Source organism: Homo sapiens, chromosome 2, assembly GCF_000001405.40.
Source record: "Homo sapiens chromosome 2, GRCh38.p14 Primary Assembly".
NCBI classification, from domain to species: Eukaryota; Metazoa; Chordata; class Mammalia; order Primates; family Hominidae; genus Homo; species Homo sapiens.
Window position 1 is genome coordinate 144,542,191 of NC_000002.12, and position 27,096 is coordinate 144,569,286.

Sequence of the window (27,096 nt, forward strand, 5' to 3'; positions counted from 1 at the left end):
ATTATTTGCTTTACCTGTATTGCTTCATTACATCCTTACAGTGTCTTGTGAGGTGGGTATAATGTTTATTCCCATTTTACAGAGAATATCCATTTATATAATGTCATGAACATATATCCAATGACATAATTTGCCTGCAAATGTACCCAGTGAGTGGCAGAGTCATCCTGAAGCCTGCTTTCCAGGCCCCGCGTATATTCTAGGTAAGTGATTCCAAACTCCATAGTGGCTTGTATCTAGCCTTGTTCTCCTGACATGTTCCCTGTGTTCCAACTTCCTCTCAACTTCTCCATGTCATAGAGGATGTGAAAGCCAAGCACTGCCTCCTAGGCTTTGTGCATAGTTTCCCATTCTTTCCTTTTCTGTCTGTGACACTCCCAGTTTTGTTTTGTTTTCAGCTCTAGCATTGGAGTGGCACTTATGGCCACTATCCATACTGGATCTAGCAGGAGTTTGGCTAAGCTCCTAAGACATTAACTTTATTTATTTATTTATTTTTAATTTCTAGCTTCTCATTTTGAAAAAAAATTTAAAAAAACAGCTTTAATGAGATACAATTTACATACATATAATTCACCTATTCGAAGCCTATAAAGCAATGGTTTTTAATATGTTCACAGATACATGGACAATCATTGACATAATTTTAGAATACTTTCATCACCACAAAGAGAAACACTATACCCTTCAGCTGTCACAACTCCCCTCTTGCATCCCTTCATCTCCTTCAGCTCCAATCAACCACTAATCTACTTTCTGCCTTTGTAAATTTGCCTATTCTGGACATTTTACATAAATGGAATAACATAATACATGATCTTTTATGACTAGCTTCTTTCACTTAACTCAGTGTTCTCAAAGTTCATTCATGTTTTATCATGCCTCAGTACTGCCTTCCTTTTTATGGCTCAAAACTATTCTATTGTATAGATAGACTACCTTTTGTCTATCCACTCATCTGCTGATGGACAGGTGGGTTGTTTCCACCTTTTGGCAATTGTGAATGGTGCTGCTATGAACATTTGTGTGCAAGTTTTTGTTTGAATACCTGCTGTCACTTCTTTTGGGTATATACACAAGAGTGGAATTGCTGGGTCTTAATTCTGCTTCACTTTTTGAGAAACTGCCAACTTGTTTTCCACAGTAGCTGCAATGTTTTTAATTTCCATCAGTAATGTAGAATCAGGGTGGTTCCAATTTCTCCACATTCTTGCCAACACTTGTTATTTGCTGTTTTGTTTTGTTTTATGTTTTGGTTATAACCTTCCTAGAGGGTTAAGTGGCCTAATTAATTTTTTTTTTTTTTTTTGAGACAGAGTTTGACTCTTGTTGCCCAGGCTGGAGTGCAATGGTGTGATCTTGGCTCACTGCAACCTCTGCCTCCCAGGTTCAAGTGATTCTCCTGCCTCAGCCTCCCTAGTAGCTGGGATTACAGGCATGTGCCACCACACCCAGCTAATTTTGTATTTTTAGTAGAGACGGGGTTTCTCCCTGTTGGTCAGGTTGGTCTTGAACTCCCGACCTCAGGTGATCCGCCCACCTCGGCCTCCCAAATTGCTGGGATTACAGGCATGAGCCACCACGCCCGGCCGGCCTAATTAATTTTTAAGATCTTTAAAGACTCTAAAAGAAGGCTTTATTTTTTCCTCTTCTGTGCTCCCAAGCACTGGTTTAAATCTGTCTTGAAGTATTTGTCACCAAATCCTTTAATCTCTCTTTCTCTCTATCTTTCTCCTCTCATCCCTTTCTGGAAACCAGGATGGACATTCTTATTCCTTTTGTGTTCCCAGGACACAGTGCCCAGGGCTCAGTACATTAAATGAATGAAGAGGCATGAGTAGGGAGCTGTGGGGACAAGGAATGTTGGGAATGAACGTTTATTATCCCTCCCATTGTGCCAGGCACTGTGTAGCACTAATATATATTATCTCATTTAATTTTCATAATAGCAGTTAAGAATCAGGTGTTATGGTATTCATTTTGCAGAAGAAGAAATTGAAACCAGAGAAATTCTCTTGGCACCAAACCACTGAGAGTAGAGTCTGGCTTCAAACCAAACTCTCTGAACTCAAAACCTATGTTAATTTCACGACAACATGTGTCAATCAAAGAAAAGATAAGGACCATCACTATTCTTACTACCACTACTAGACTATCCCAACTTATTGGATGTTTTCTGTGTGCTGTACGCCATGACAGCTAGTTTTTGGATGCTATCTAATTTGATCATTTAAAAATTTAGTGAGTCAGACATTATTATTCCAATTATTCAGACAATGAAATAATCCCTGAGAAAAGTAATTTGCCCAAGAACAACAACTAATAAGCAATGAGTTCAAAACCAGGTCTGTTTAATTATAAAATTTCTGTACTCCTATCAATGTGGGAAAATACATTAGAGATCTCAAAGTTTACCTGGTTATCCGACAGTGTGGGGAAGTTTGCCAGGTAACCAGACAACCAGACTGCCCAGCAATTTTTTCCCAAGTACTTTTGCTTTCTCAGCTGCTTCCAGTCATAATTTTGGTAGCATAGATAACTTGGCTAATTCTATATGTTATGAAAAAGGCACACTGTGACCCACAAGAGAAAGAATGTTCTGTTCAACTGGCTTATTGTGTTTCTATTTATTTATTTATTTATTTATTTATTTATTTATTCATTCAGAGACAGGGTCTGACTTTGGAGTGCAATGGCGCGATCTCAGCTCACTGCAACCTCCGCCTCCCAAGCTCCAGCAATTCTCCTGCCTCAGCCTCCAGAGTAGCTGGGACTACAGGCATGTGCCACGGTGCCTGGCTAATTTTTGTATTTTTAGTAGAGACGGAGTTTTGCCATGTTGCCCAGGGTAGTCTTGGACTCCTGAGCTCGGGTGATCCGCCTGTCTCAGCCTTCCAAAGTGCTCGGATTACAGGCATATTGTGTTTTTAATAATTTTACCTATAATATATGTAAAGCATCCTACATCTGACTGGACAACTTTTTAAATACAGTAATTATCTGGTTACCCCTGCTTTTAACAGTTTGGCCATTCATTTGTTAATTTAATATTTATGTCATGAAGCTATCTTTTCTCTTACTACATAAAATCTACCTTAGCACTAAATGAAATGCTGGTAAGAATCCACAATAAAGATAAACAAAAAAATCATAACTAGAATAGAAGATTTTTAAATATATTTCAATTTTATGTTCTGATTTAGATACTCTGATTTTAGAGTATTTTTCCAGCATTTATGGTAGTTTGTTAAATATTGGGAAACCTCAGCATGGCTATGTTTTGGAGGCAGGTATAATGGGAAGGCAGAGGCATCAGATGCCTTTAAACACCAAGTACTTAATCAATATATTTCCTTATTCCTAATATCTGCTTTAGATATTTCATTCTTCTTCTTGTCATGTTTTTCATTGCTCTTCATGCCTTTTTTAGAGGCTTTTTTGTTTTTGGTTTTTTTTTTTTAAATAGAAGCCGATGTTACCATTTGGCATATGTCTCCCTTGGCAGTGACATCTTGAAAATTAAAAAAAATAATACCTCCCTCGCATGCATCCATTCAGGCTGCCTGTAACTGCACTGTACTTCGAAATGTGTCACCTTAGGAAATTCTGCAAATTGTTCATAACATTGTCTCTATAAATGTTTTGGAAGGGCTTTACTGTCAGGTCAGCTTTCTAAGGGCTAGAAATATGTCAAACTGGCAGCTTTACCTTTATTTAAGAGCCAAAATACAAATAAGTAGATTACAAAGCAATCAATCAATATAGCATTGCAGGATGTCATGGTTGGCATTGACCTCAGAGTTCGGCCCTGTCATTTTACAGATGAGTAAACTTGTCCGTAAACTCTGCAGGAGACAGGGTTTTGTCCTGACTCAGTTACAGCCAATCAGGTAACCTTGGACATGCTGCTGTGCCTCAGTTTCCTCATCTGAAACAGATGAGATTTCCCTCTGTTAGATCATCTCTGAGGCATTTTCCCAGATGTCAATTTGTAAGGTGTCATGACAAATTTGATATATTGTATTTGATATATTTCCAGTCCTTAAAAAACTTCTGACCTCACATAAAAGATCGCTCTAATCTTTTATGTGGTCTCCTTATATATTCTTTAAAAGTTGGAAGCACTATCAATTTATAGTTATTGGCAGAATCATAACTTTTATTCACTGTTGAAAGAATAAACAAATGAAGATCTTTTTCCCAGTCAGAGCATTTCTTCACTTTTTTTTCCCTCCCTGGTTTGTTGTTGTAGGGTTGCTTGGGGATATTAGGTTACTGACCTTTGTTTTCCTTTCTACAAGAAGCTTTCACTAAAGTATTTTTGAGGGGGGTCTTATAGGAAACAATGACTCTCACATGCAAGTAATTAAATGGAAAGAAAAAATGGCACACATTTGACTTGATTAATTTTCTTTCTTTCTGTAAACCTGTGGATCCTAACCTGAAAGTTGTGTGCAAGAGTCCACAGTCTCACTGAGATATTTTATCTTTTGCATTACACTAAAGTCTCCAGGTGAATTTAGTACTCCTGTAAGGCCTGGGCAGGCTAGTTTGGCAAACAATGTAATATGACATGATGCACGCTTTTTTACTCAACTGTAAATATCTATTTCATTCAGATATCACCTGCTATTCTTAAGGCAAGTCTTTGGAATAGAGACCCTAAATGTGTCAAAAGTATGTAATGTGTTTGTGATAGAAATAAATAGAGACCAGGGTGACTTAACACACGGGGTTTCACATGTGCGGGCCAGCACTTGCAGAATTCTAAAGTAGGTTATGTTAGCCTTCCCACTTTCAATGCCTTTATGGATGTGGTGTTTATATATCCTAGATTTTCCAGGGCAACTCTGGGTTGTAAATATTCTGTCCTGTTGTTCCCATAAGCACAATCATACTTGTCAAGCTACGTGTCACGAGTTTTGGTTTGGAAAATATGGACTCCGTATGTACATCAGAGCCTGTTTTTTCTGGCCCGATGCCCTGTGCTATTCCTCTACTCTGCCCTACCCCTAGCCCACTTCCCATTCTCATCAAAGCCTTGTTTCTGTTACAGTTCACTTGCTCATGTTGTCTATGCCTAGTGTCTAGGGGGCAAAGTGAACAGTAAACTAATCTGTGCTAACGGGCAAGTGGAGAAAATCGGGGTCAGGAGAATCCGCACATCCAGAGTGCTCTGTCTCCTCTCAGGTAGCATAAGTTGTTCTCTGGAAATAAGGCCGTAGTTTCATTTATCTCTAAGACAAAGAGTCTTTCTATGGTTGGTTGACTGAGGCAGATTTCTTGGAGGAGGCAAGGGTCCTCTGCATTTCATCACAAAGATGGCAATTTCTCCGTCAATACCTTGGACCAGCTTTGCAGATGTGTCCTCGACGTGATTAGTCCCCTGTAGTGGTAGGAAAGGAATAAAAGCCCAGTGTGCCAGCTTTACTCCTCGACCGACAACAATTTCTTCTGGTATGTGTACACTGCTCAAATGCTCTTTTTACAAAGTTGGAAAGCAAGATTGCTTCATGACAATATTTGCTGAGACAGCAAGACAATCTATGCCTCTCCATTGTTAAATCCCTGAGCCCTACCCAATCTGACTTTAAAAAAAATTATTCTTTCATCAGGAGGCTGTGTTTAACATTTGTAAAAAGACGTTTAGGATTATTTGAAATATTTTGTAGATTTCAAGTTCATTGTCTGTCATTTTCCTTTTAGCCTAACCTTGTTATTTCTGTTTATTGTATGTGATTTTATTACATAAACATATACAGATTTCCACTAATTGTTTAAACATCTTGCTTTAAAAATCTCTGCTTAAGCACTTTTATTTGTATCACTTTTTTTCTTGTCTTGATTTGGTTCTTAACTGTGATAAATTTCAATGGAATCTCCTCTAACTCTTTAAGAAATAACTCCTCATTTTTCTGTGTTAAGCAGTTTACCTTTTAGAAATTTAATCAGCATTCCTTTTGGCACTTTGTATTATCTTAAAAAGCAACATTAGTACCTTGGCTTTTCAGTCCTGAGAGCATTTGCTGAACCAGATGGTTTCAATATCGTCTATTATTTTTAATCATACATGGTTAAGTCTCAAGAACCAGTCTCTTGAGACTGTTGACTATTTAGGAAGCTAGAAGAGCAAGCACACATCTTTAGAAACAGGATGTACATTTAGTATCATTATTATCCTAACCAATATCTGAGTAATTGAGCCACCTTATTATCAGATTCAGGCTTTTCTAACAGTCTATTATCAGTTTCTTTTTCTGAACTTTTATGTCTACATTTGGGGAATTTAATGCTATTATAGACTCACTGGTCACTTTTGTAAACTATAATCTCCCATAGCAATAATTGTTTTTAATTCCAGGCATAGTACATACCAAGCATATTAACTTCTAAAATCTTTTTTTTTTTTTTTTTTTGAGCCAGGGTCTCACTCTGTCACCTAGCCTGACTAATTTTAAAAAATTTTGTAGAGATAGGGATCTCACTAAGTTGCCCAGCCTGGTCTGAACTCCTGGGCTCAAGCAATCCCCCTGCCTCAGCATCTCAAATTGCTGAGACTACAGGTGTGAGCCACTGCACTTGGCCAACTTCTAAAATCTTAATGACAAAACAAAAAGATTAGTATTATTATCTCCATTTTACAGATGGGAAAATAGGTTTCAAAAAGGTAAACTATATTTTTTTCCATTTCATGACCAATAAGAATGAGGCTTACATTCAAGTCTAGTCTCTGTCTATTTTGATCATTTCTAAGTCTGTCTGACTTAGAAACCCCCACTTCTAACCACTGTGCCATAGCACTTCCTGCTAACCCTGAATAAAGGTGTCTGTTATGTAAATCAACATATTCATTGACAATGGACTTCCTTTTTGTGTACTGCAATATGCATATATAAAAGCATTCAATATTAGCCTTGTCTGGTTTCTTTTTTATTTGAAAAATACCAACCCCCCCACATAATAATAGTTATAAAATTATATAAAATAAGAAGCCAAAAACTTTCCTGACCCTCCAAGGTCATACTTTAAAAGTTCTCCTAGGCATATCTAGATGTGACTCCATATACATTTTCTTTTTAATTTTTAAAGTCTTATCTTGAGGTTTATTACCAAAATTACTACACCTTATCACTTTCTGCTTGCATAGCGAACATAGAAAAATTTATTTTTCTGGAAAATACTGTGACGTATCTTCATGGTTTTTTACTTTTTTCCCTTTTTTAAAAAATAAGGATTTTGAGAACCAGAGTCTGCAAGCTGTGAAATGGTCAGGCAAATAGTTTGAAAATACTGACTCTCCACTTTTCACCTGATATTTGCCTATTGTTAGACTGCAGGAAGGGGGATTTAGTGAAATAAAATATTTAATATTTCATACTTTTTTTTTCCTATGTGGATGGTTGGAGATTCTTACAGATAATTTCTTCTTTTAGATCAGAAACTCCTGTTAAAAACAGACATTTAGCATAGGCTTTTCTAGGCTTCCGTCTTCTATTAAAAAGTAGGGGCATATTCATAATGAAAAAGTTGGGGAGATGAGAATGAAAGGGCTATAGGAAAGGGCATCATCATTAAAGAAGTTATAGGAACACTTTTTCAGCTCCTTTGAATCGACCAGAGTTGATCTTAGACAAAATTCCATGGAAGGCAGAGTTTACCTTCATTCTTGTCTTCACTGGGGCCACTGCCTTCTCTCCTTCGGGCTCCAACCGAAGCCTATAAATCTATTACATTTCTGTTTACATGGCAGGACCTTTGTTTTGATCTCTGCTGGACTGTAAGCTATGAGGGACCTTGTTTTTGTAACTATCCCAGTGCCTGATTAGTGCTTAAAAGACAGGTATGAGACGAAGACAAACACATTCATGAGTGATTGGATGACAATAATTACTGCTGTTTGGGGTCCTCAGAGTAAATAGTATGCAAATTTTCAATAGGGCATTAACATCAGTGTGAGAGGCAGAATGTACCACTGGATGGAGCACAGGTTTAGGGGTAATTTCTCTCCCAAACCCTCCACTTACTAGGAGTATGATCTTTCTTTGCCAAATTCTGAGGATTTTTTTTTTTTTGGTCTCAGTTGTTCCATCTGTGTTATGGGCATATTATCACTCATGGCCTTGTGCTACTGTCAAGGTTCAATGATAAGGCCGGGGCGCGGTGGCTTACACCTGTTATCCCAGCACTTTGGGAGGCCGAGTTGGGTGGATCACTTGAGGCCAGGAGTTCGAGATCAGCCTGTCCAAAATGGTGAAACCCCGTCTCTACTAAAATAATAATAATAATAATAATAATAATACAAAAATTAGCCTGATGTGGTAGTGCACACCTGTAGTCCCAGAACCTGAGAGGCGGAGGTTGCAATGAGCCAAGATTGCACAACTGCACTCCATCCTGGGCGACAGAGTGAGACTCCGTCTCAAAAACAAACAAACAAAAAGATTCAATGATAAAATGATGCAATGTGCTTAGCTCTGATCTTTAGACTACATAGACTATAGATAGCGATAGTAATACGATTACTACTACTATTAATGAGAATTCAGTAAATGCATAATTATTTGTGGAGCCTTGTTTGTGCCAGACCCCACTCCGGACATTAGTAATTCAGTAGAAGACAAAAACAGACAAAAATCCCTCCTCCCAAAAAGCTTACATTTGAATAAGACATGAAAAATGAATAAGCTAAATATAGAATATATTAGGAATGATAAGTGTGATGGAGATGCCTAAAGTGTAGAAAGAGGATAGTGAGGTGGAAGGGTCTGGAACTTTAGATCGGATGGCCAGGAAAATCCTCACTGAGAAGTGTGTAGAGGCTTGAACAAAGTGGGGGAGCAAGCTTTAGGAGGGAAGAGCAGTCCACAGGACAAGTCACCCTAACCACTTAATTATTAAAATCCTTCTCTGCTGAGGTCACCCTTTGGTAAGCATTCACATGGGACACACATAACTTTACGGTTTTTCCCATTCAGAAAGGCCTATCCTCTTACTCAAATTTCCTTGACACCAATTTTCCAGTCATGTTTCTTCCACATCCCTGACCATCCAGCAAAATCATTGTCTATGGCCCGTAAATTGGTATATCATTGTGGTCTGGCTGTATCTCCTTCTAAGCAAAATGCACAACCAGGTGCATTGTCTAAAGTTTTGCCCACTGGGAGAATTTCCCTTCACCACTGTTTTTCAGGGATGTTTTAGAGAGGGCTTGTGGTGCTGTAGTTGTCCACTTTTGTGTGGTGCCTGAATCTCATACAGAACCACCTGTAAACCAGCCCTGAGTCTTCTATTTTCTGGTAAACTGGTTTGTAGAGAATTCCCTGTGAGGTCACAGGTGCATGCTGGAAGAGAGAAGGTAGAATAGCAGCAGTGGGGGCCATGGACATTCGGGCCATTTCATGTTACTTACTTATGCTTCCAGGGCCTGCTCAGGCCTCATGATGTTGTGTGCCACTTCTATGTGATGATGGAGTGTTGTGGTGCATTCCCAACTTTATGGCTTGATGGCTCAGCTGAAACCCAGTTCGTGATGGGTAGCTCAGGTCTTCTGGTAACTTGATGGCCCAAGGTCTAGCATTCAGTTTCCTTTAAGGCCAAGGGCTCTCTCTCTCAAAGGAGAGTAGTTATCTGCAGATGATGGCAGGGCCTTGCTCCAAAATCCTAAAAGCTTGATCCTTGATTCCCCTATGGGGGTTTGCCAAAGGCTCAAACAGCATCTCTATCTGCCACTGACATTTTAAGTACCATTAGATCTTCCAGATCACATAGTCCAAGTGTCAGAGGAGCTTGAATGGCAGCCTAAATCTCTTGCAGAGCCTTCTCTTATTCTGGGTCTCACTCAACACTACCAGCTTTTCGGGTTACTCAGTAAATGGGCTAGAGTAATAACATACCCAAATGAGAAATCTATTGCCTCCAAAATCCAAATAGGCCCAATAAATGTTGTGCCTTTTTCTCGGTTGTAGTAGGGGCCAGATGCAACAACTTATTCTTTACCTTAGAAGGGATATCTTGGCATGCTCCCTACCACTGGATGCCTAGATATTTCATTAAGGGAGAATGTCCCTGATTTTTAATTGGATTTATTTCCCACCTTCTGAGATGCGAATGTCTTACCAGTAAGTAGTCGTTACTTTTCCCTCACTAGGTCCAGTCAGTGTAATACCATCAATATAGTGGATCAGTGTGCTATCTTGTAGAAGGGAAAGGCAATCAAGATCCCTGTAAACTAAATTCTGATATAGGGCTGGAGAGTTGATATACCAGAATAACATTTACTTAGCATTTGCTATATGCTGAACACTGTGCTAGTTCATGGGACATACAGTTAAATAAAAATGTAATCAGTACTAAGGAACTTGTACTATAGCTGGGAGAGTTCAGACTCTCTTGTGTAGTTCAGGGAAATACTCAAGGCAAATATGCTTGGTGCTCTGGAATTTGTATCAAGTAAGTGTCATCCATTACCTTAAAGGAAGGGTGGCGAGGCAGGAGGATCACTTGAGCCCAGCAGTTTGAGACCAGCCTGGGCAACGCTGGGAGATCTTGTCTCTATAAAAAATTAGCCTGACATGGTGTCATGTGCCTGTGGTCCCAGCTACTTGGGAGGCTGAGGTAGGACAATTGCTAGACCAGGTATTTGAGCCTTCAGTGAGCTATGATTGTGCCAGTGCACACATTCTAGCATGGGTGACAGAGTATAACTCTGAAAAAAAAAAAAGAAAGAAAAGAAAGAAGGAAAAAAAGAAAAAAGAAAAAAGAAAGAAAGGAAGAAAGAGAGAGAGAAAGAAAGAAAGGGAAAAGAAAGGAAGGAAGGAAGGAAAGTAAAGGAAGGAAGGAAGAAAGAAAGAAAAGTAGCCATATAGTTTATCATCCAAATTGGAAGACTTTTGAGCTGGAACAGAGGCATTATTAATTGCTTCAGGTAAAGAGACTCAAATCAAGACTGTCCCAGGCAAACTTGGACCCAAGGTCTTTCTATTCTGAGGTCCACTTCAATAGTAGTTTTGAATACAGGTGGTGAGAAAGGAGAATAACATGTCACCAACTTTTCAATTTTTTGATGAATTATTATGTTTTACCTATCAAAATATGTATTGCCTGAAAATTAGGAATAACATAAAGTCAAAATAAAGGAATATTAATCACAGGAGCAAGATGTTTGTATGTTTAATAAGTAGATGATTTGCCATACGTTATGTGAATGTGCGTCCATGAGTGTTCTTATGAAGAATGTTCTGTTCTGAGTCCCTGTTTGAGGAGCATGATTAAGTGAAATTTGACCTGACGTCTTATACAAAGCATAGAGAAAGCTCCCCATGTCTTTCTTTCCTTGGATGGTTTTATTTTGACTCATCATGTTTTGCTTCTTGGAAAGTGTTTGTTATTCTTACTAAGTGACTTAAGGGTTTTTAGACATCACTCATATTTGGACCAATGAGGCAAAAGCATGTGAAGGATTTACAGCTTGCATGCAAGTTTCATGTGCTGGAGGTACAGTATGTATAGACCCTACCTTTGGAAAGAGACTATTTTCTGCTGGTGAAACAGGCCTGAGGCTTTTTGGTCATTGCAGTGAGAGTGTTAGTGACTAAATACAGATGCATTTTAGTGCACTGTAATGTGATTTTAAAAATTGTTCTAACAATCAATTTACTGTTGTCATCACATCTCCTCTGATTTTCAAGTGCAAATGTAACACCATTGTTCTTATTAACAATTACAAAAAAGTTTTACCCCTTAAGTTTCCATTATAAGGGATGCATTCCTGAAGTCATGGTTACATTAAAATTCTTACTACAAATGAAGCCAGCTAAAAATGTTTACCAACTTGAATTGAGCTCATCATGTTTTGTTTGCTGAATAGTGTTTTGTGATTTTACCAACATAAGAATGAGTCTCCAAACTATTTTTAAAAGTAGAGCTTTTACTCTAAAGAAGTGCTTGCCTCATTTTCTTCGTGCTACTCCAAACAAGATGTTGTTTATTACTTTGAAACACTATATGTAAACCCCAGGAATATGTTAAATATGATTGAAGTCTTGGCTGTCTTTAACAAATTGAAGTTTCCAGAAATTTAGCTGTGTTTAAAAACCAAAGCCATGTTTTCAGGAAAGATTTCTATTTCCAAATATGTGGTTGCCCAAACCTTTTATGTTTTCATGTCAAATTCAGCTGCCAAATAACACACACTGTACCTTAGCTATAATAAAAAAAAAACACAAACCAACACATAGACTTCAGATTTTAAAAAGCACTGCAAGAACAACTATGATCATATTTCTTGAACTTATGCTATTCATATGCATATAAGCATGTTTTAGAGTAAGTTCTGTGAGGCATCGGTCACTTCCACTGGTACAAATTGACATGCACAGCACAAGATTGGCACTATGCAACAGCCGATCTGGGAAAATACAGGAATTCCTAGCCAGACCAAAATATGAGGTCAAGGAAGTTGCTTTTATAATAATAGTGGTTATCTGTTTAATGTGTGATCTGGCAGTGATATGATGTTGACCATAGGCAATTATGCATATTTCTAAACTGGTTGTATGCAAGCCTGGAGTAAGAGAAATCCCCCAGTTTGTGATAAAAGGCTATTTATTGCCCTTTTATTTCCTTCAAATGCTTTACTTAATCATTTATAAAAGACAAATTAGTAGTGAATACCAATTTCATTTTGTGTTTTATTCTGTATTCATTCCTACACGTTTGGGATATCTATTAATATGAGCTCTTAATAGTTTTGGCACAAGTTCAATGTCAACGAATGAATGATGTACACATTTTATAGTCTTCTTAAGGGATAATAATGTGGTTCAGTGACAGTGTGTCTTGATTTCTTTGGGGGCAGGGCACTCTGATATGAGTCATAAGGGATAAAGACTATTAGTTATTTTTCCCTCAGCTAGCGCAGTGATGCAAAATTTTTCTTCCATTATAGAACATTTTCTTAGAATATCAGGTTTAGTGTATAGATTAATGCTTAAGAAACTGGCTGATCACATGGGACTATCTTTTGCTTTATCCTTTCAATGTGACTGAAAATTTATATTCCATATTTTCATATCAATGACAATGTGATGACACGGCAAAGGAGTTATACTGGCTTGTTGCACACATCAAATGTAATATTCTTTTCTTTGCAGAAAAAATATGTTTATTTTGAACAAGAGAAAAGAACTTGAGCATTTCAAGTATCAGGAAAGCTATCTGGGAGAGAATAGTGACTGGCTGCTATTTACCTACTCTGAGGGCAGAACAAAAAGCAATGGGATTGGGTTGTAGTAAAATAGGCTTAAATTAGTCTTGCAGAAGCACATAAATAAAACACTACAATGGGTCACAATAGTTGCCCTTTTTGTTCCCAGGGACTGGGTCTACTGTACTCACCAGGATTCAACAATGGTCCCTGGCACAGACAGGTGCTCAACCAATATTAAATGCATAAAGTGAGAGACTGGATTAGGGAGATGCTTATAGAGGCAAAGCATGAGATCCCAATGTAAGGTATAGATTTTAAGGATTAATGGTGCCATTGCTTTAGAAATTCAGTGTCATCCACAAGGAAATTAGAATTGTAAATATTGAAAAATCTCCATGGAATTTTAAATTATATGCATATGCCGTAATTACTCCCACAATTTTCCAAATTTTCCAGACATTTCACCATTAAAGTGGTACAGTAGAAAGGATGGGAGTCTATAGCATTGGAAGTGGTGGACTAGGAGAGTTCTGGCCCCAGCATAATTCACTACTGGTGGGGATCCAGGGCTACTAGCTGCAGTAGTTGCCTTTGAGAAGCCTCTAAAGACTGAATATGAGATGTTAAGAGCTATGCATTGTATCTATTCTGAAGACTATTTCCTCTGAGTGCTTTGTGTGTGTGTGTGTGTGTGTCTGTGTGTGTGTGTGTGTGTGTGTGTGTATGTGTGAATGAAAGGGAATGTGGTCAGTTACATATTATTCCTCTAATGTCCAACTGGACCTCGAAAGGACTTTATTTAAAAGATGTAAAAAAAAAAATTCCAAACAAGCAGCCAAATGTAGCTACCAGGCATTGAGGAGTTTGGAGGGCTTAGAGAAAGTATCACTTCCATCCGCATGTGGCCCACTTGACAGAAGACTAGCCAGCACCAGATTTCAACCAGAGAAGACAAGGCAGTATTTCACAGTGCCCACCGCTGGGTTGGGTTTTTGGTGGCTCAGTCTCCAGAGACTTTTGGACCAGGTCTCTGGTGAAAATGATATGTGGGGCTGATGTGGGTGGGGCCATGTCATCATTAAGAAGAAAAGCACTCCAGAGTTTATAGGTTTCATGGACTTAGGAAAATATTTAAGACCTGATTATAATTATATTGGTTGCAAATGACAAAAACTACAAAACTCAGATTAACAAATATAAACAAATGCAATGTTGTGTCAGCTTCATTCATTGTCAAAAAGATTGCTCATAAAAATTGTCATTACATTTGAAAACAGTTCAAATGTGCATGTTGATTGCATAGAAATCACAGCTCATTGTAAATTTGGTGTATTACTTGAGGCCTAAGTATTTCAGAAACAAAAAATGGTTTTAAAAACAAAAATTCTTTCCAAAGTTTTTCAGCAAAATGATTGTGTTTAATATGTGATATGGGTGTATTTTAATGTTTGATATAATTGGTCTCCAGGAATAATGATGCCTGGAGAGCATTGAAATAGCCTTGAATCCAGGAAACTAAGTGGGAAGAGGTAAGAGATTAGGCATATTTTAAAGGGTGCTAAAAGAGCATTACACAGGTACCACACTACTTTAGCAAGTGAGGTATCCAATGAGCCCTTTACTTTCTTTGTTTCTTTTTCTTTTTTTGAGACAGTCTTGCTCTGTCACCCAGGCTGTAGTGCAGTGGCGTGATCATAGCTCACTGCACCCTTGAACTCCTGGACTCAAGGAATCCTTTCACCTCAGCGTCCCAAGTAGCTGGGACTATAGTTGTATACCTCTATGCCTGGTAATATTTTAATTTTTGTTTTATTTTACTTTTTTATTTCAATAGATTTTTGAGGAACAGGTGGTGTTTAGTTACATGAATAAGTTCTTTAGTGGTGATTTCTGAGATTTTGGTGCACCTATCACCTAAGCAATGTACACTGTACCCAATGTGTAGTCTTTTATCTCTTGCCACCCCCTCACCCTTTCCCCATAGTCCTCAAAGTCCAATATGTCATTCTTATGCCTTTGCATCCTTATAGCTTAGCTCCCACATATGAATGAGAACATACGATATTTGGTTTTCCATTCCTGAGTTACTTCACTTAGAATAATAGTTTCCAATTCCATCCAGGTTTCTGCAAATGCCATTATTTCATTCTTTTTTATGACTAAGTAGTATTCCATGGTGTGTGTGTGTGTGTGTGTGTGTGTGTGTGTGTGTGTGTGTATAAAAAACATTTTCTGTATCCTCTCATTGATTGATGCACATTTGGGCTGGTTCCATATTTTTGCAATTGCAAATGATGCTGCTAGAAACATGAGTGTGCGAGTATTTTTTTTGTGTAATGACTTCTTTTCCTCTGGGTAGATACCTAGTAGTAGGATTATTTTTTGTGGAGATGGGGTCTTGCTATGGTGCCTGGGCTAGTCTCACACTCCTGGCCCCAAGTGATCCTCCTGCCTTGGCCTCCCAAAGCCCTGGGATTACAGGCATAAGCACCACAACTGGCTCCCCTTTACTTTCAATCAAATTGTTTATGACGTGCAATCAGATAACTTTGAAGATGAAGAATTCCATTCTTAAATATGTAGTGCTTGTTAACCAATCTAGAAAAGGAAAAGGTAAGAATCCGACCTCAGGCAAATAATGCTGTGCAGTGCATCTTGTGATACGTGCTTTATGTAAAAATGCTTAAAATTGGTTTAATCTCTACAGTCACGACAACTGCTCATTGTTTTCAGTTGGCTACGTTTCTTTGGTGTAACAAGAACCAGTGAGTTGGGGAAGGGAGATGATAGTTCCAGTTTCAGTTAAAGAAATTGCAGGTGAAGAAGGCACAACCCTTTCTGGAACAGTTATTTCTTAGCATGCTCTGAACTTCGCTTGATGATGTGAAATGACTATTTTAAATTGTATTTTATTCCTTATACATAAACACATTGTTTGTACATCAACAGGTAAGGGTTCACTGGTGGTTCTATTTTAGCCTACACTTAGTTATGGTTTTAGTATTCTAGAAGGACTATATTTGTAATTTGGTGAGTCCTTCCATGCAAGACATTAAATGTTATTAATTAATATAGTTGTCTAGTATTTAGATAGAATAAATTGCTCATTTTTATTTCATTATCTTGTATTTTTAACATGTTTCTAACTGTGACAGACACTCAGGTACAATTATTATGTGTAATAACTTTAAGGTCCATTTTATCAATGTGCACACTTTTTGGAGATAATACTTCTAGAATGTTTGTAGCTTTCACATCTTACTCTTATTTTTGCTGTCATAAAACACTATGAAGTGTTTGTTTTAGGTATTAGTTTCCTTCTTGATAGACGAAGCAACTGGAAGGCATGGACTATTGAAATGAAGAGCAAGGTCACGGTCTTTAGTTAATCTCTAAAGAAGGGCTGCTCTCCCAATTTCCAGAAAAACTTTCCTATGGCCTTTTATGAAAAAACGGCAGGATCAGCTGGGCGTGGTGGCTCATGCTTCTAATCCCAGCACTTTGGGAGGCCATGGTTGACGGATCACGAGGTCAGGAGATCGAGACCATCCTGGCTAACACGGTGAAAACTCATCTCTACTAAAAACACAAAAACAGCCGGACATGGTGGTGGCCACCTGTAGTCCCAGCTACTCAGGAAGCTGAGGCAGGAGAATTGCTTGAACCAGGGAGGTGGAGGTTGCAGTGAGCCAAGATTGCACCACTGCACTCCAGCCTGGGCGACAGAGCGAGACTCCGTCAAAAATAATAATAATAAAATTTAAAAAAAAAGCAGGATCTCCTTAATCCTTAATTACTTCTCCAGCTCTCTTCTACCTCCTCAAGTTGTCCCAATTAAGAACATCTTCAGGTAAAGGCTCCATTAGGAAAGGGCCACTTGTGTCTTGTCTACCTGTGTATCCCCAGCATGTAACCTTAATACTTACTAAAGTATTTATGGACTCAGTAAATGAGTGAATAAGTGAACGAGTGTAAAGTCTTGTAGCAGAGGTTTGTTTGTGGTCACTGGGGCTCTTTGCTGAGCTTGAGTGGTGGAGCCCCTATCTGACACACTGCACTGTCACCATCTTTGAGCACACTGTTGTTGAAGTGGCTCTCCTGGCCTCACCTTGCCTACTTTGCCCACTTCATCACTTTCCTCAGGTCAATTTGATATTTGGGTTTGGTGCAGGAGCTACTGGTTTTGATCTGTTCCTCCTTGGCATTAGGGGAGATTAGGAAGAGTGAATCCAAACAGGATTGGACAAAGTAAGTGGAAAGAGGCTCAATGACTCATAAACTGAGATGGGTTGGTGGTGTTCTAGTGAAGGTGTTAAGGAGGTTAGCTTAGTGTTGTGTTTGTGTGAGACTTCCACACCGTGTCTATGTTGTTTCAGCATCCTTCCCATTCAACACAGTTCTCTTCCTTCCCGTTCCTGGAGACAACTAGCATGCTGTTCTCCAAGAAGTGCCATTGCTGAATTCTGCCCCAGGGCAAGGCTGCTGCACTAATGAACGGTACAATAAACAGCCCTACACAATGTGTTGTTCTGTGTGCTGTGAGGATATTGTTGAGGCCTCTGTTCTCTGCTTTATACTGTGCCTTCTCAAGGAGGGCCACAGGGACAAATTTCTCTATGGTCTCATAACCAGGAATAATGATGTCTCTCCTGGACAAATGGCTTGTTCTTTGTTTTAGGGATGCTGCAGTTCATGTAATGGATCATGTTTCCCTCTTCATGTAGCCAGTCTGAAAGCTCAGATTCAAATTTATAGCCTACCTCTGGCAAGTGTATCAGGCTTCTTTGCAAGAATTTTGTCTCTTTTACATCACTGCATTTTCTCCTGGACTCATTTTATTTACCTACTTTAAGTTTATTTTATTTTATTGTATTGGATGCATTTAAAAAATAATACTACTTAAACCCTTTTGGGAAAAAAAAGAAGTTATAAAGAAATAAAGTTAAAGACCAGTGTGTTTATGTAACATATTTATTTTAGTTTTTAAAATAAATTCCCTGGGCCTTAATTTCACAACTTCCTCTTCTCTAATCTCAAAATCAGTCCATTGCTGTCTCACTGTCTAGTGTCATAATCCTTCCTGGATTAGCTCCCCTACCCTCCCCTTCCCTCCCCTCTCCTCGCCTCTCCTCCCTTCCCCTCTCCTTCCCTTCCTTTTCCTTTCCTTCCCTTCCCTTCCCTTCCCTTCCCATTTCATTGAAAGTAAGGTGTTAATAGCAGATCTTTGCTACTGACACTTTCTAACTATGTGAACTTTGCTAAATTATTTAATCTGTTTCATTTGTAGAAAGAGTAATAATCTTTATCTTATGTGAAGGTTGTGAGGATTACATGAAATACTGTATGTAAAGTGTCCAGTAAATTATTTGGATTTTTGTTGAAGACAGTCTTATAAGTAGAAATGCACTGTACTTGGAGTTTAAAGTCTCCACTTTTTCACTTGTTGGCTTATGCCCTTGGGCAAACCACTGGACCTCTTTGGACCACATTTTTGTCATATGTAATTTTATGGCATAGTCTAGAGAGTTTTTAGGGTTCCAGTTCCACTATTCTTGGATTCTAAGACTAGCCCCAATAACCTCTTGTGGGTGCGTCCCCACTCTGTATTCATTAGGAAAGGCACAAATATACCCACTTGGGCATAGAAAGGTGTGAGGAAAGGGAAAGGAAGGTCTGAGGCAGGAAAATGGAAAGGCCCATTGTGCTAGTCTTTATGTTCTTCACTGGTGTTGTGGCATTTGCAGTGGGTATTAGTGTCTTCTGGAATACCCTAAATTACTAATGATGATAGCCTTGACTTCAAGGAAATTTCAAAATTCATGCCTTTGTGGATGTTGCTATATGTAGTAAATGGTCTGTAAGCTCGTTGCCTGATGACCACACACCCCATAAAAGTGAGTTATGCACTGGTGCCCGTGAGGTAGCAGTGGAACAAAGGGAGCTGCTGCTGGCAGTCAATGACCATGTTGGTTAATGACCATATTTAGTTCAATCATAGCGTCAATCAAAACAAGTGACTGTGTCCAAGATATCATTTCTATTCAGAAGCTACTGGGCAATAGAATATCCCAAAAGTGAGAGGGAGCTCAGTTATCAAGAAGATAAGTAAAGAAGCGTTTTTAATGGATGAGGTGGAAAAATAATCTACATTGACATGAAGCTACACTTATGACAATTCATCAAGATGCAGCAAAGCTTCGTGGTTAAGAGCATGGCATTTTTTTTAGTGTGCAATTTTGGCCAAGTTATTTAATTTCCTCATATCTCAGAGAGATATAGATACTAAACTCACATGATTGTTCTAAGGAAATGATATAATTGCCTGAGAGATGTTGTCAGAGGTAACTGTTATTATTAAAACTATTAGTATTATTACAAAACTCAAATTCACACCAGCCCTCAAGGTTCTGCTACCCCTAATCTAATAAGCTATGTAGACTGTAAGAATAAATGTTAAAAACAAATGATTAAGTCACAGAATGATTGAAGTGAAGTGGGAATACAGAAAAAAAATTTGTAATAAATTTTTGAATCAGTGTACCATGTCTGTTAGCTTTTATTCTATCATTCTATCCCTGGGATCTTACATTAAAAAGGAAACTATCTGCTTTTGCTGTTGACTGATTTCATTCTGTGTATATGAAGCAGGATTATAAAGACATTAGTTTCCATAAGCTACTCTGGTCCCATTTTGTCTACTTCTTTTGAAGCTTCTGTGTCCTAACTTTGTGTGGGACAAATATAAATTTGATCAGCTTGTTAAAAAAAAAAAGCATTATGACCCTGAATCCTGAAAAGTCTTTATTGTATAATATAACTTTTTAAAAAACTGTAAAAAAATCTATCAAGTTAAAATATTAAAGACAAAAAATCAGCAACCCTAAAGAAAATGAGCGGTAAGGTTCTGTGGAACTTCTGTTACAAAAATGGAGAAACCACTGAAAACTAGTTTGGTTTGAGCTCAAGTATTTTTGTCTCAATGAGCTTCAACTTTTGCTTGGTCCTCTGAAGAGTCAGTGAAATTTTGAGTTTCTAAATGATAATAGTGTATGGTAGTTGCAGCCTTAGAGCAGAGCACCTGGGAGTGGTGGTTTTCTTGTGCTTCACTCTTCGAATCTTTCAGAAGAGAAGTGAAATTGTATAATCGGAGTCTCATTAATTTACTTAGTTTTGACCTGTATTTTTTTTTTTTTTTTTTTTTTTTGAGACGGAGTCTCGCTCTGTTACCAGGCTGGAGTGCAATGGCTCGATCTCTGTTCACTGCACCTCCTCCTCTGGGGTTCAAGCAATTCTCCTGCCTCAGCCTCCCGAGTAGCTGGGACTACAGGCAAGCGCCACCACACCCAGCTGATTTCTGTATTTTTAGTAGAGATAGGGTTTCACCATGTTGGCCAGGATGGTCTCAATCTCTTGACCTTGTGATCCGCCCGCCTCGGCCTGCCAAAGTACTGGGATTACAGGCGTGAGCCACCGCGCCCGGCCTGACCTATATTTTCATGTGCAATTTATCCTACGTCAAGTCAGATGTTAGTTCATTTGGAACTGAAAACTATAGAGACAATTTCCCAGGCAACATTTTTATAGGAAAGAAATTAGGAATGAGACATAGGATCTTGGCTGCCTAACACTTAAAAAACAGGATATGAGTTTTTTTAAAAGCAGTTTGACTACATTATTTAGTTTTTTTATTTAAAAAATTGTGGTTCAAAATACAAAATTTACCATCTTAACCATTTTTTGAGTGTATAGTTTGGTAGAGTTGAGTATGTGCATATTGCTGTGCAAAAGATCTTCAGAACCTTTACATTTTGCAAAGCTGAGACTCCAAAAATTAGACAATAACTCCCTATTTCTTCCTCCTTCCCAGCCTCTGCTTAATTCCATTTAAAGTGAAGGTATGCGTATGTTTTGTGATACAACATGATGAGGACAGAGGCCATTTAGGTTTGCAAACCGTTTAGATTGCAAACCATAGGGATAGTGTGTACTTGCTTGAAATGTATGGACAAGTGGCAGGAACGAGTGCCCATAGTCAGCATTTATATTAGTTGAACTATATGAGGCTTGTTACTGGCACACTTGAAGTACCTGAAAGACAGATATTACTGATAGTTTTGAGTAGTAAGGTTTATAATTAAAATCAAAACCAGAAATGGGATAAGGTGGAAAACCCTGATACTGAAGGAGGATAAACTTTCAAATACATAATTGAGAAAAGTCATAAAATTATTTTCCATTGGGATTTTTTTTTAAGGCAAATATTCGCCTTGATATTGTGGTACTACCAGAATGCTAAAGAATATGCTAAACAGGTCTCAAGCTAGTTCCTTTCCTAGACCTTTCAAAGCTGTGCTTAAGGAATCTGGCTTGCCATAGTACAAGGCAAAATCTAAAAGCAGGAGATGTTGAAACGTGGACTGATATTTTAGAGCCTTTATTTGCTTAAATGAAAGTACATTAAAAATGCTCAGGGTCCTGAACGGGAAATATAAACATCATGGAAAAGATTTATGTGCCAGAGAGAATATAGTAAGTTTCTGACATCCTGGTGCACTTCATTTCCACCCACTTAAAAATACAAGATGATGAGATGTCATCTTATTGGCTACCTACCATTATAATTTTAATAGCTATCCTGTACTAATATGTTGGGTGAAATATGGTATAATAATGATGATGATGTTCACATGGTGGTGGTGACGAGAATGGTGATCACCTGAACTCCTAACTGATCCATCCTTCTATCTGATCTCTTGCCTGGTATGTCGCAAAGTTTGTAAACTTGGTGCCCAATGATACTCCCTAAGCTTTCACAGGGTTTACTTTATTTATAGACCTTATAACCTAGAGTTGCTCGAGAGGTGGTATTATTAGTGTGTTTCAGATACAGTTTACATTAAACTTGTTTTTATGTGTCAATCTGGGAACTTAATGATTATTTATAAATTTGTTTCCTTAGTAAAGGAACAAATTTTGAACACAAATTTTGTATTTTGAACCCGAATCAAATAAATAAAATTTTAAAGAAATGACCCTTTTTAAGTAGGAAATTATTTTGATTTGTACTTGTAATTCTATATCAGCATGTAAGAAAATATTTTAATTTGTTTTTGGAATGAAAACTATAGCTTAATTTTAATAATGGAGAACAGTAGGGCAGCTAAAAAATTAACAATATTGCATATATTAATTTCTTGATATATATTGTTTGAATTAATTAAACACAAAGTCATTTATACTTAGTTATTGTGCTCTATAATGATGTTTCTTCTTTTCTTTTCTTTTTTTTTTTTTGACAGAGTTTCACTCTTGTTGCCCAGGCTAGAGTGCAATGACACAATCTTGGCTCACTACAACCTCCGCCTCCCGGGTTCAAGCAATTCTCCAGACTCAGCCTTCCAAGTAGCTGGGATTACAGGCATGTGCCACCATGCCTAGATAATTTTGGTATTTTTAGTAGAGACAGGGTTTCACCATGTTGGTCAGGCTGGTCTTGAACTGCTGATCTCAGCTGATCCACCCTTCTCAGCCTCCTAAAGTGTTGGGATTACAGACATGAGCCACCGCGCCTAGCCTGATGTTCTTTCTTATTTTGTTTTTAAAGTTAATTTTTATGACTCTGAACTCACATATTTTGTCTACTCTGGATTTATTCTGAGTGGTCGGGAGAGTTAACCTAAAATTAAAATTTTAAATTAAAAAAATTTAAAATATATTTCAAGTATTCTACAAATTAGTTGGCCCAAGCACAGATAATCGGGTATTACATGTTGATAGGTTACCGAAAAATGTGACAGAGAGGAATAAATAGTTGTTGTGAACTATTTAACTAGATCTGGGTTTCTCCTGAGGGTTGTTTATTTTGTTTGTTTTTAAGGTCTTTCCTATCATGGGGTATATAGAGATAACTCCATTATTAATTGTAACATACTGCCATATGAAGAAAAACCATATGTGACATTTCTCTCCATCTCTCGCCTCACTGATTGCCTGGATTGATCAGCTGATTTGGACTCTACGCCTGAGTTCTATTTCCTTTTCACATTCCCATCTGGTTTTCTCCCATGTGGTTGATGAGGACAGCCTTCCTGGCTGGAGGAAGATTGTTTTTAAGACAAGCGCTGCACTCCTCTATGAGGACCAGAGCTAATTCAGTGAGCACACTCTGACCAGAATTGTCATCTACCACTTGGGAACACCAAACAATGTAGAAAGGTCCCAGGGGACAGAAGAAGTGGCACCAGATTAGAGCCCTAGAGATGTGGTGAATGGGTTCAATGAAACCATAATAATTTCATCAATAATTACCAACAGTGAAACATTCTCTATGTGCCAGATGCTTTATGCAGCATCTTGTTTAACTGTCATGAAAACGTATAAGATAAAATCTTATGATTAATCCCATTTCAAAATGAAAAAACAGAGATTTGGAGATGAGAAATCATGTTCCTCAAGCTTATGCAGATGGTAAAATAAACTTGGAATTCACCCAAAGATTATCAGACCCCAACACAAATACGTCACTTATTCACAAATATGTCAGTTATTCTGCTAGTACTTGCCTCAGTTGTGGTGGGGATATGAGACATGGTTGTCATTCTTTGGGTGACCATTTCACCCAGTTTTGCCAATTAGTTAAATGTGAATTATTTAAAATAACTCTCCTTTGTTCTATTTCTTTCTTTTTTTTTTTTCACCTTTGGTTACTTTCTTCCACTTATCATATCAATCTCACATTAGAAGCAAAGGCCATGATTCCTGCCCATTCTCTGCCCTCACCACAAAACCTGGATTAATTAGGACATAACAGCCAGAAATATGATGACCAGTCAGTTACACTTTCTATGCTCTCTAGCCCAGCCATCAGGATGAATTTAGATTAGACATACTCAAGAATATCCATGAGTGATAACTATAAGCTTTGTCACAGATAACTGTATTGGCTGTGCTTAAATGTACAACTCTGTTTTTCTATTATTATGTGATATTTCATGTTGACTTGTCAAACTGAAAAATACCCATATTGATTTTGCAGAAAGCTTCACATGTGAGATAAATGCACTCAAAGATTCCTCACAAGTAGCTCTTTGGAGCTTCAGATGTGAAATGGATCATTCCTCAATCTGTAATAGACCCTTCTGTGAAGCTCTTCAATCAAACCAGAGAATTCAAGGTGAAATTGAGGGGAGGATTGGAAACCCCTACAGGGGGATTTGAGTGAACTAGCTGAGAAAGGAACCTGAGGTATTTGCCACGTGCTGCCTCTTTTTTCAGTTCTTTTCTTTAGCATGGGAAGGCTGTCAATCAATGTGTGACCTTACACGCTGTAGGTGCATAATACCTGGGTACAACAAGACAAGCTGTAAGGGGAGTATCAAATACATCTTTGATTTCTTTCCATTTGTCATTTTTCTGACAACCCTTAGGCTATTTTTAAAGTAGCTATTTTATACAGATTTGTTATTAGATATTTCTCTCTATTGAATTATTAATTATATCGTTATAATTGATAGGATGAAATTATATATCTTTTGAAAAAACATTAGTATTCTTTTTAAAAAGTTAGTGATATATGGTAACTACCTTAGTTAGAAAGAATTGATATATTTTATAAAGTAATGATCCTCATAGTTACATCTTATTTAGGGATTATGTTTGTAGATCATGTAATGAGTTTTAATAAGTTTGTTTCCAGTAAAGCAGTAAGACAGAGTTACCTCTGGTAAGGAAAAAATAAAGAAGATCTATTCTGAAATTAGTTTTTGTGTCACATTTTTAATTGATTTGGTGCCACATTTCCAGTTGGACATTTCTAGGTTAATTTTTTTTTATTATACTTGAAGTTTTAGGGTACACGTGCACAACGTGCAGGTTACATATGTATACATGTGCCATGTTGGTGTGCTGCACCCATTAACTCGTCATTTAACATTAGGTATATCTCTCTAGTTTAATTTTTAAGAAACTCTAGAATTTTCAATGGGCTATTTAGTTTGGAGAAGCAGTGAATCCTGACACCAAACCAAGTAATCAAAACTGTGCTTTAGAATTTATGCTGAAATATGGAGTATGTTTGACAATAGTTTTTGATGCTCAAGCTGCTATGAAATGATTGCTATCCCATAACAGTGTTATAGTTTTCCTAAGCCATGGAGATGGTGTTGTTTGTAAAGCTCAATTATTAGTATAATCTTAAGAGCACATTAATTATGTATTTGTTCTGCACATGTGATTAAAGATCATGGCAGCTTATACAGCATAATTTTAGAGATGACAAAAATGACTATTGTAATACTTGCTACTCTCAGTTTCCTCTACAGCAATGCCCTTACACCTTTCTTTTGCGGGCTTTTTGTAGCATCCTAAACAGAAGGATATTGCAGGGAGCTGATTCTGCTTTGATCCTTGTGCTTGTTGTCAAAGCGCTTGGGATTGAAGAGACTGTTGGCTACAATTGACTGTGACAATTAGGAGATGATCAGAGCCCTAGAGTGGAGCACTTAAAGGGTAATTTACATGTCAGTTTGTCGAATAAAAAAAAAGATATTCAGCTAAGATTTTTTTTCCCCCTCAGAGCCTTGTAAACTGCAATTTGTGCTCTGGTAAGAAAAACCTGGCAGAGGAGTTAGGCTAGCCATTACCATTTGAAAAGAAGCAATCATAAGGCCGCTGCTGAGTCCTTTGTCCACTAAAAATGCTGATTTGCAGGCAGCGAGTGAAAAAGTGGAACCATCACTAAATAAAACCGTGAGCTAGGTAACTACCCTTCACCCCGATCCTTGGTGGCTTTTTAGTGTTGGTTAAAGGTGCTTTTTTTTTTTTAAATGTATCATAAATCCTACATTACTATCATTACAACCCTGTTATTGGTTATGAATGTCTTGTCCTATAAATAAATAACTAAAATGGTCACACTGAGGAAGTGGTGGTGGAATATAAGCCAACAGTCAATTGAAAGGCTAAAGCTGACTATCACTTGTATTAGATTTTTCCTTATTCTTTTTCCTTCTGTACACCATCAAAATTTCCATCCTTTGCACTATGCTATTGTTTTTCTCTGTTGTATCGATGTGTTCCTAGATTTTTTCATTTATATTTATACTCCGATGTTAAAATGGGAACCGTATTTCTAACTTTCATGTGATTGGTTGGCCTATTTGGGTGTACTTGGCTAAAAATGTAACATAGCATTAGTCCATGTGCTATTCACATGTGGTCATCTCTATATTCTTATATTAGCTAATCCATATGTACAAGTAAAAAACATAGCTAGAAAGCTAACAGAAGGTAATTGCCAGTAAATATATGGTGGTAGTAGTTACACATCATCTGTTTAATCATCAAATAGAATAAGAAAAATTAGAATTTATTTCAAAGATCTTTTACGTCTTTTTTCCCTGGAAATCATCACTACTACCTCTACTACTAGGATAAGCTGCAAGATTTTCACTTGTATGGTTGTCTGAAAAAAGTAATGTATCAACACAATCATCTTTGCGAAGATACCTAAATTTGGTGTATACTTAATTCAGGGTTAGGTATTAACCTTCAGTTGCAGGTACATTTTACGTTCCATTTCTTTGATACTTGGCTATGGTAAAGGGCATTTGCAGAGAGGCAGCATAGGTCTCAAGACGAGTTTGTCTTTATCGATAAGAGTGAAGAGTATTTGTGGCCTTCAAAAGCCAGAGGCTCCAACTCTGAGGAGGTATCTGGTCATCGCTGTTCCCCGAGGTCTGTCACCTGGACACTGTGTCTGGGTTTAAAGGCTGCCCTTTCAGTAAATAATTTACTACCTTAGATTTCCAAATAAGAGGGCTTTTATTTCTCTTCATTTGATTCTAATATCTTAATATTTTAACAAACTTTTTTTCCCCAATGAATGCCTT

The 27,096-nt window shown here is 37.7% G+C and overlaps 1 long non-coding RNA gene across 1 annotated transcript in view, besides 2 other annotated features; it reads left to right on the forward strand.

Moving 5' to 3' along the window:
- Positions 1–27,096, forward strand: part of LINC01412 (long intergenic non-protein coding RNA 1412) — a 57,567-nt gene that overhangs the window by 20,323 nt on the left and 10,148 nt on the right. The window contains exon 2 of the long non-coding RNA NR_110570.1: positions 24,243–24,380. This is a non-coding gene — a long non-coding RNA (long intergenic non-protein coding RNA 1412). The remainder of the gene's footprint in view (positions 1–24,242; positions 24,381–27,096) is intronic.
- Positions 25,221–25,727: an enhancer, noted in NCBI's record as "OCT4-NANOG hESC enhancer chr2:145324978-145325484 (GRCh37/hg19 assembly coordinates)". NCBI's record gives its function as "activates a minimal SCP1, AML or CMV promoter by ChIP-STARR-seq in primed H9 embryonic stem cells {active_cell/tissue: H9 hESC(primed)}" and the evidence as "EXISTENCE:reporter gene assay evidence [ECO:0000049][PMID:30033119]".
- Positions 25,728–26,234: an enhancer, noted in NCBI's record as "OCT4-NANOG hESC enhancer chr2:145325485-145325991 (GRCh37/hg19 assembly coordinates)". NCBI's record gives its function as "activates a minimal SCP1, AML or CMV promoter by ChIP-STARR-seq in naive and primed H9 embryonic stem cells {active_cell/tissue: H9 hESC(naive and primed)}" and the evidence as "EXISTENCE:reporter gene assay evidence [ECO:0000049][PMID:30033119]".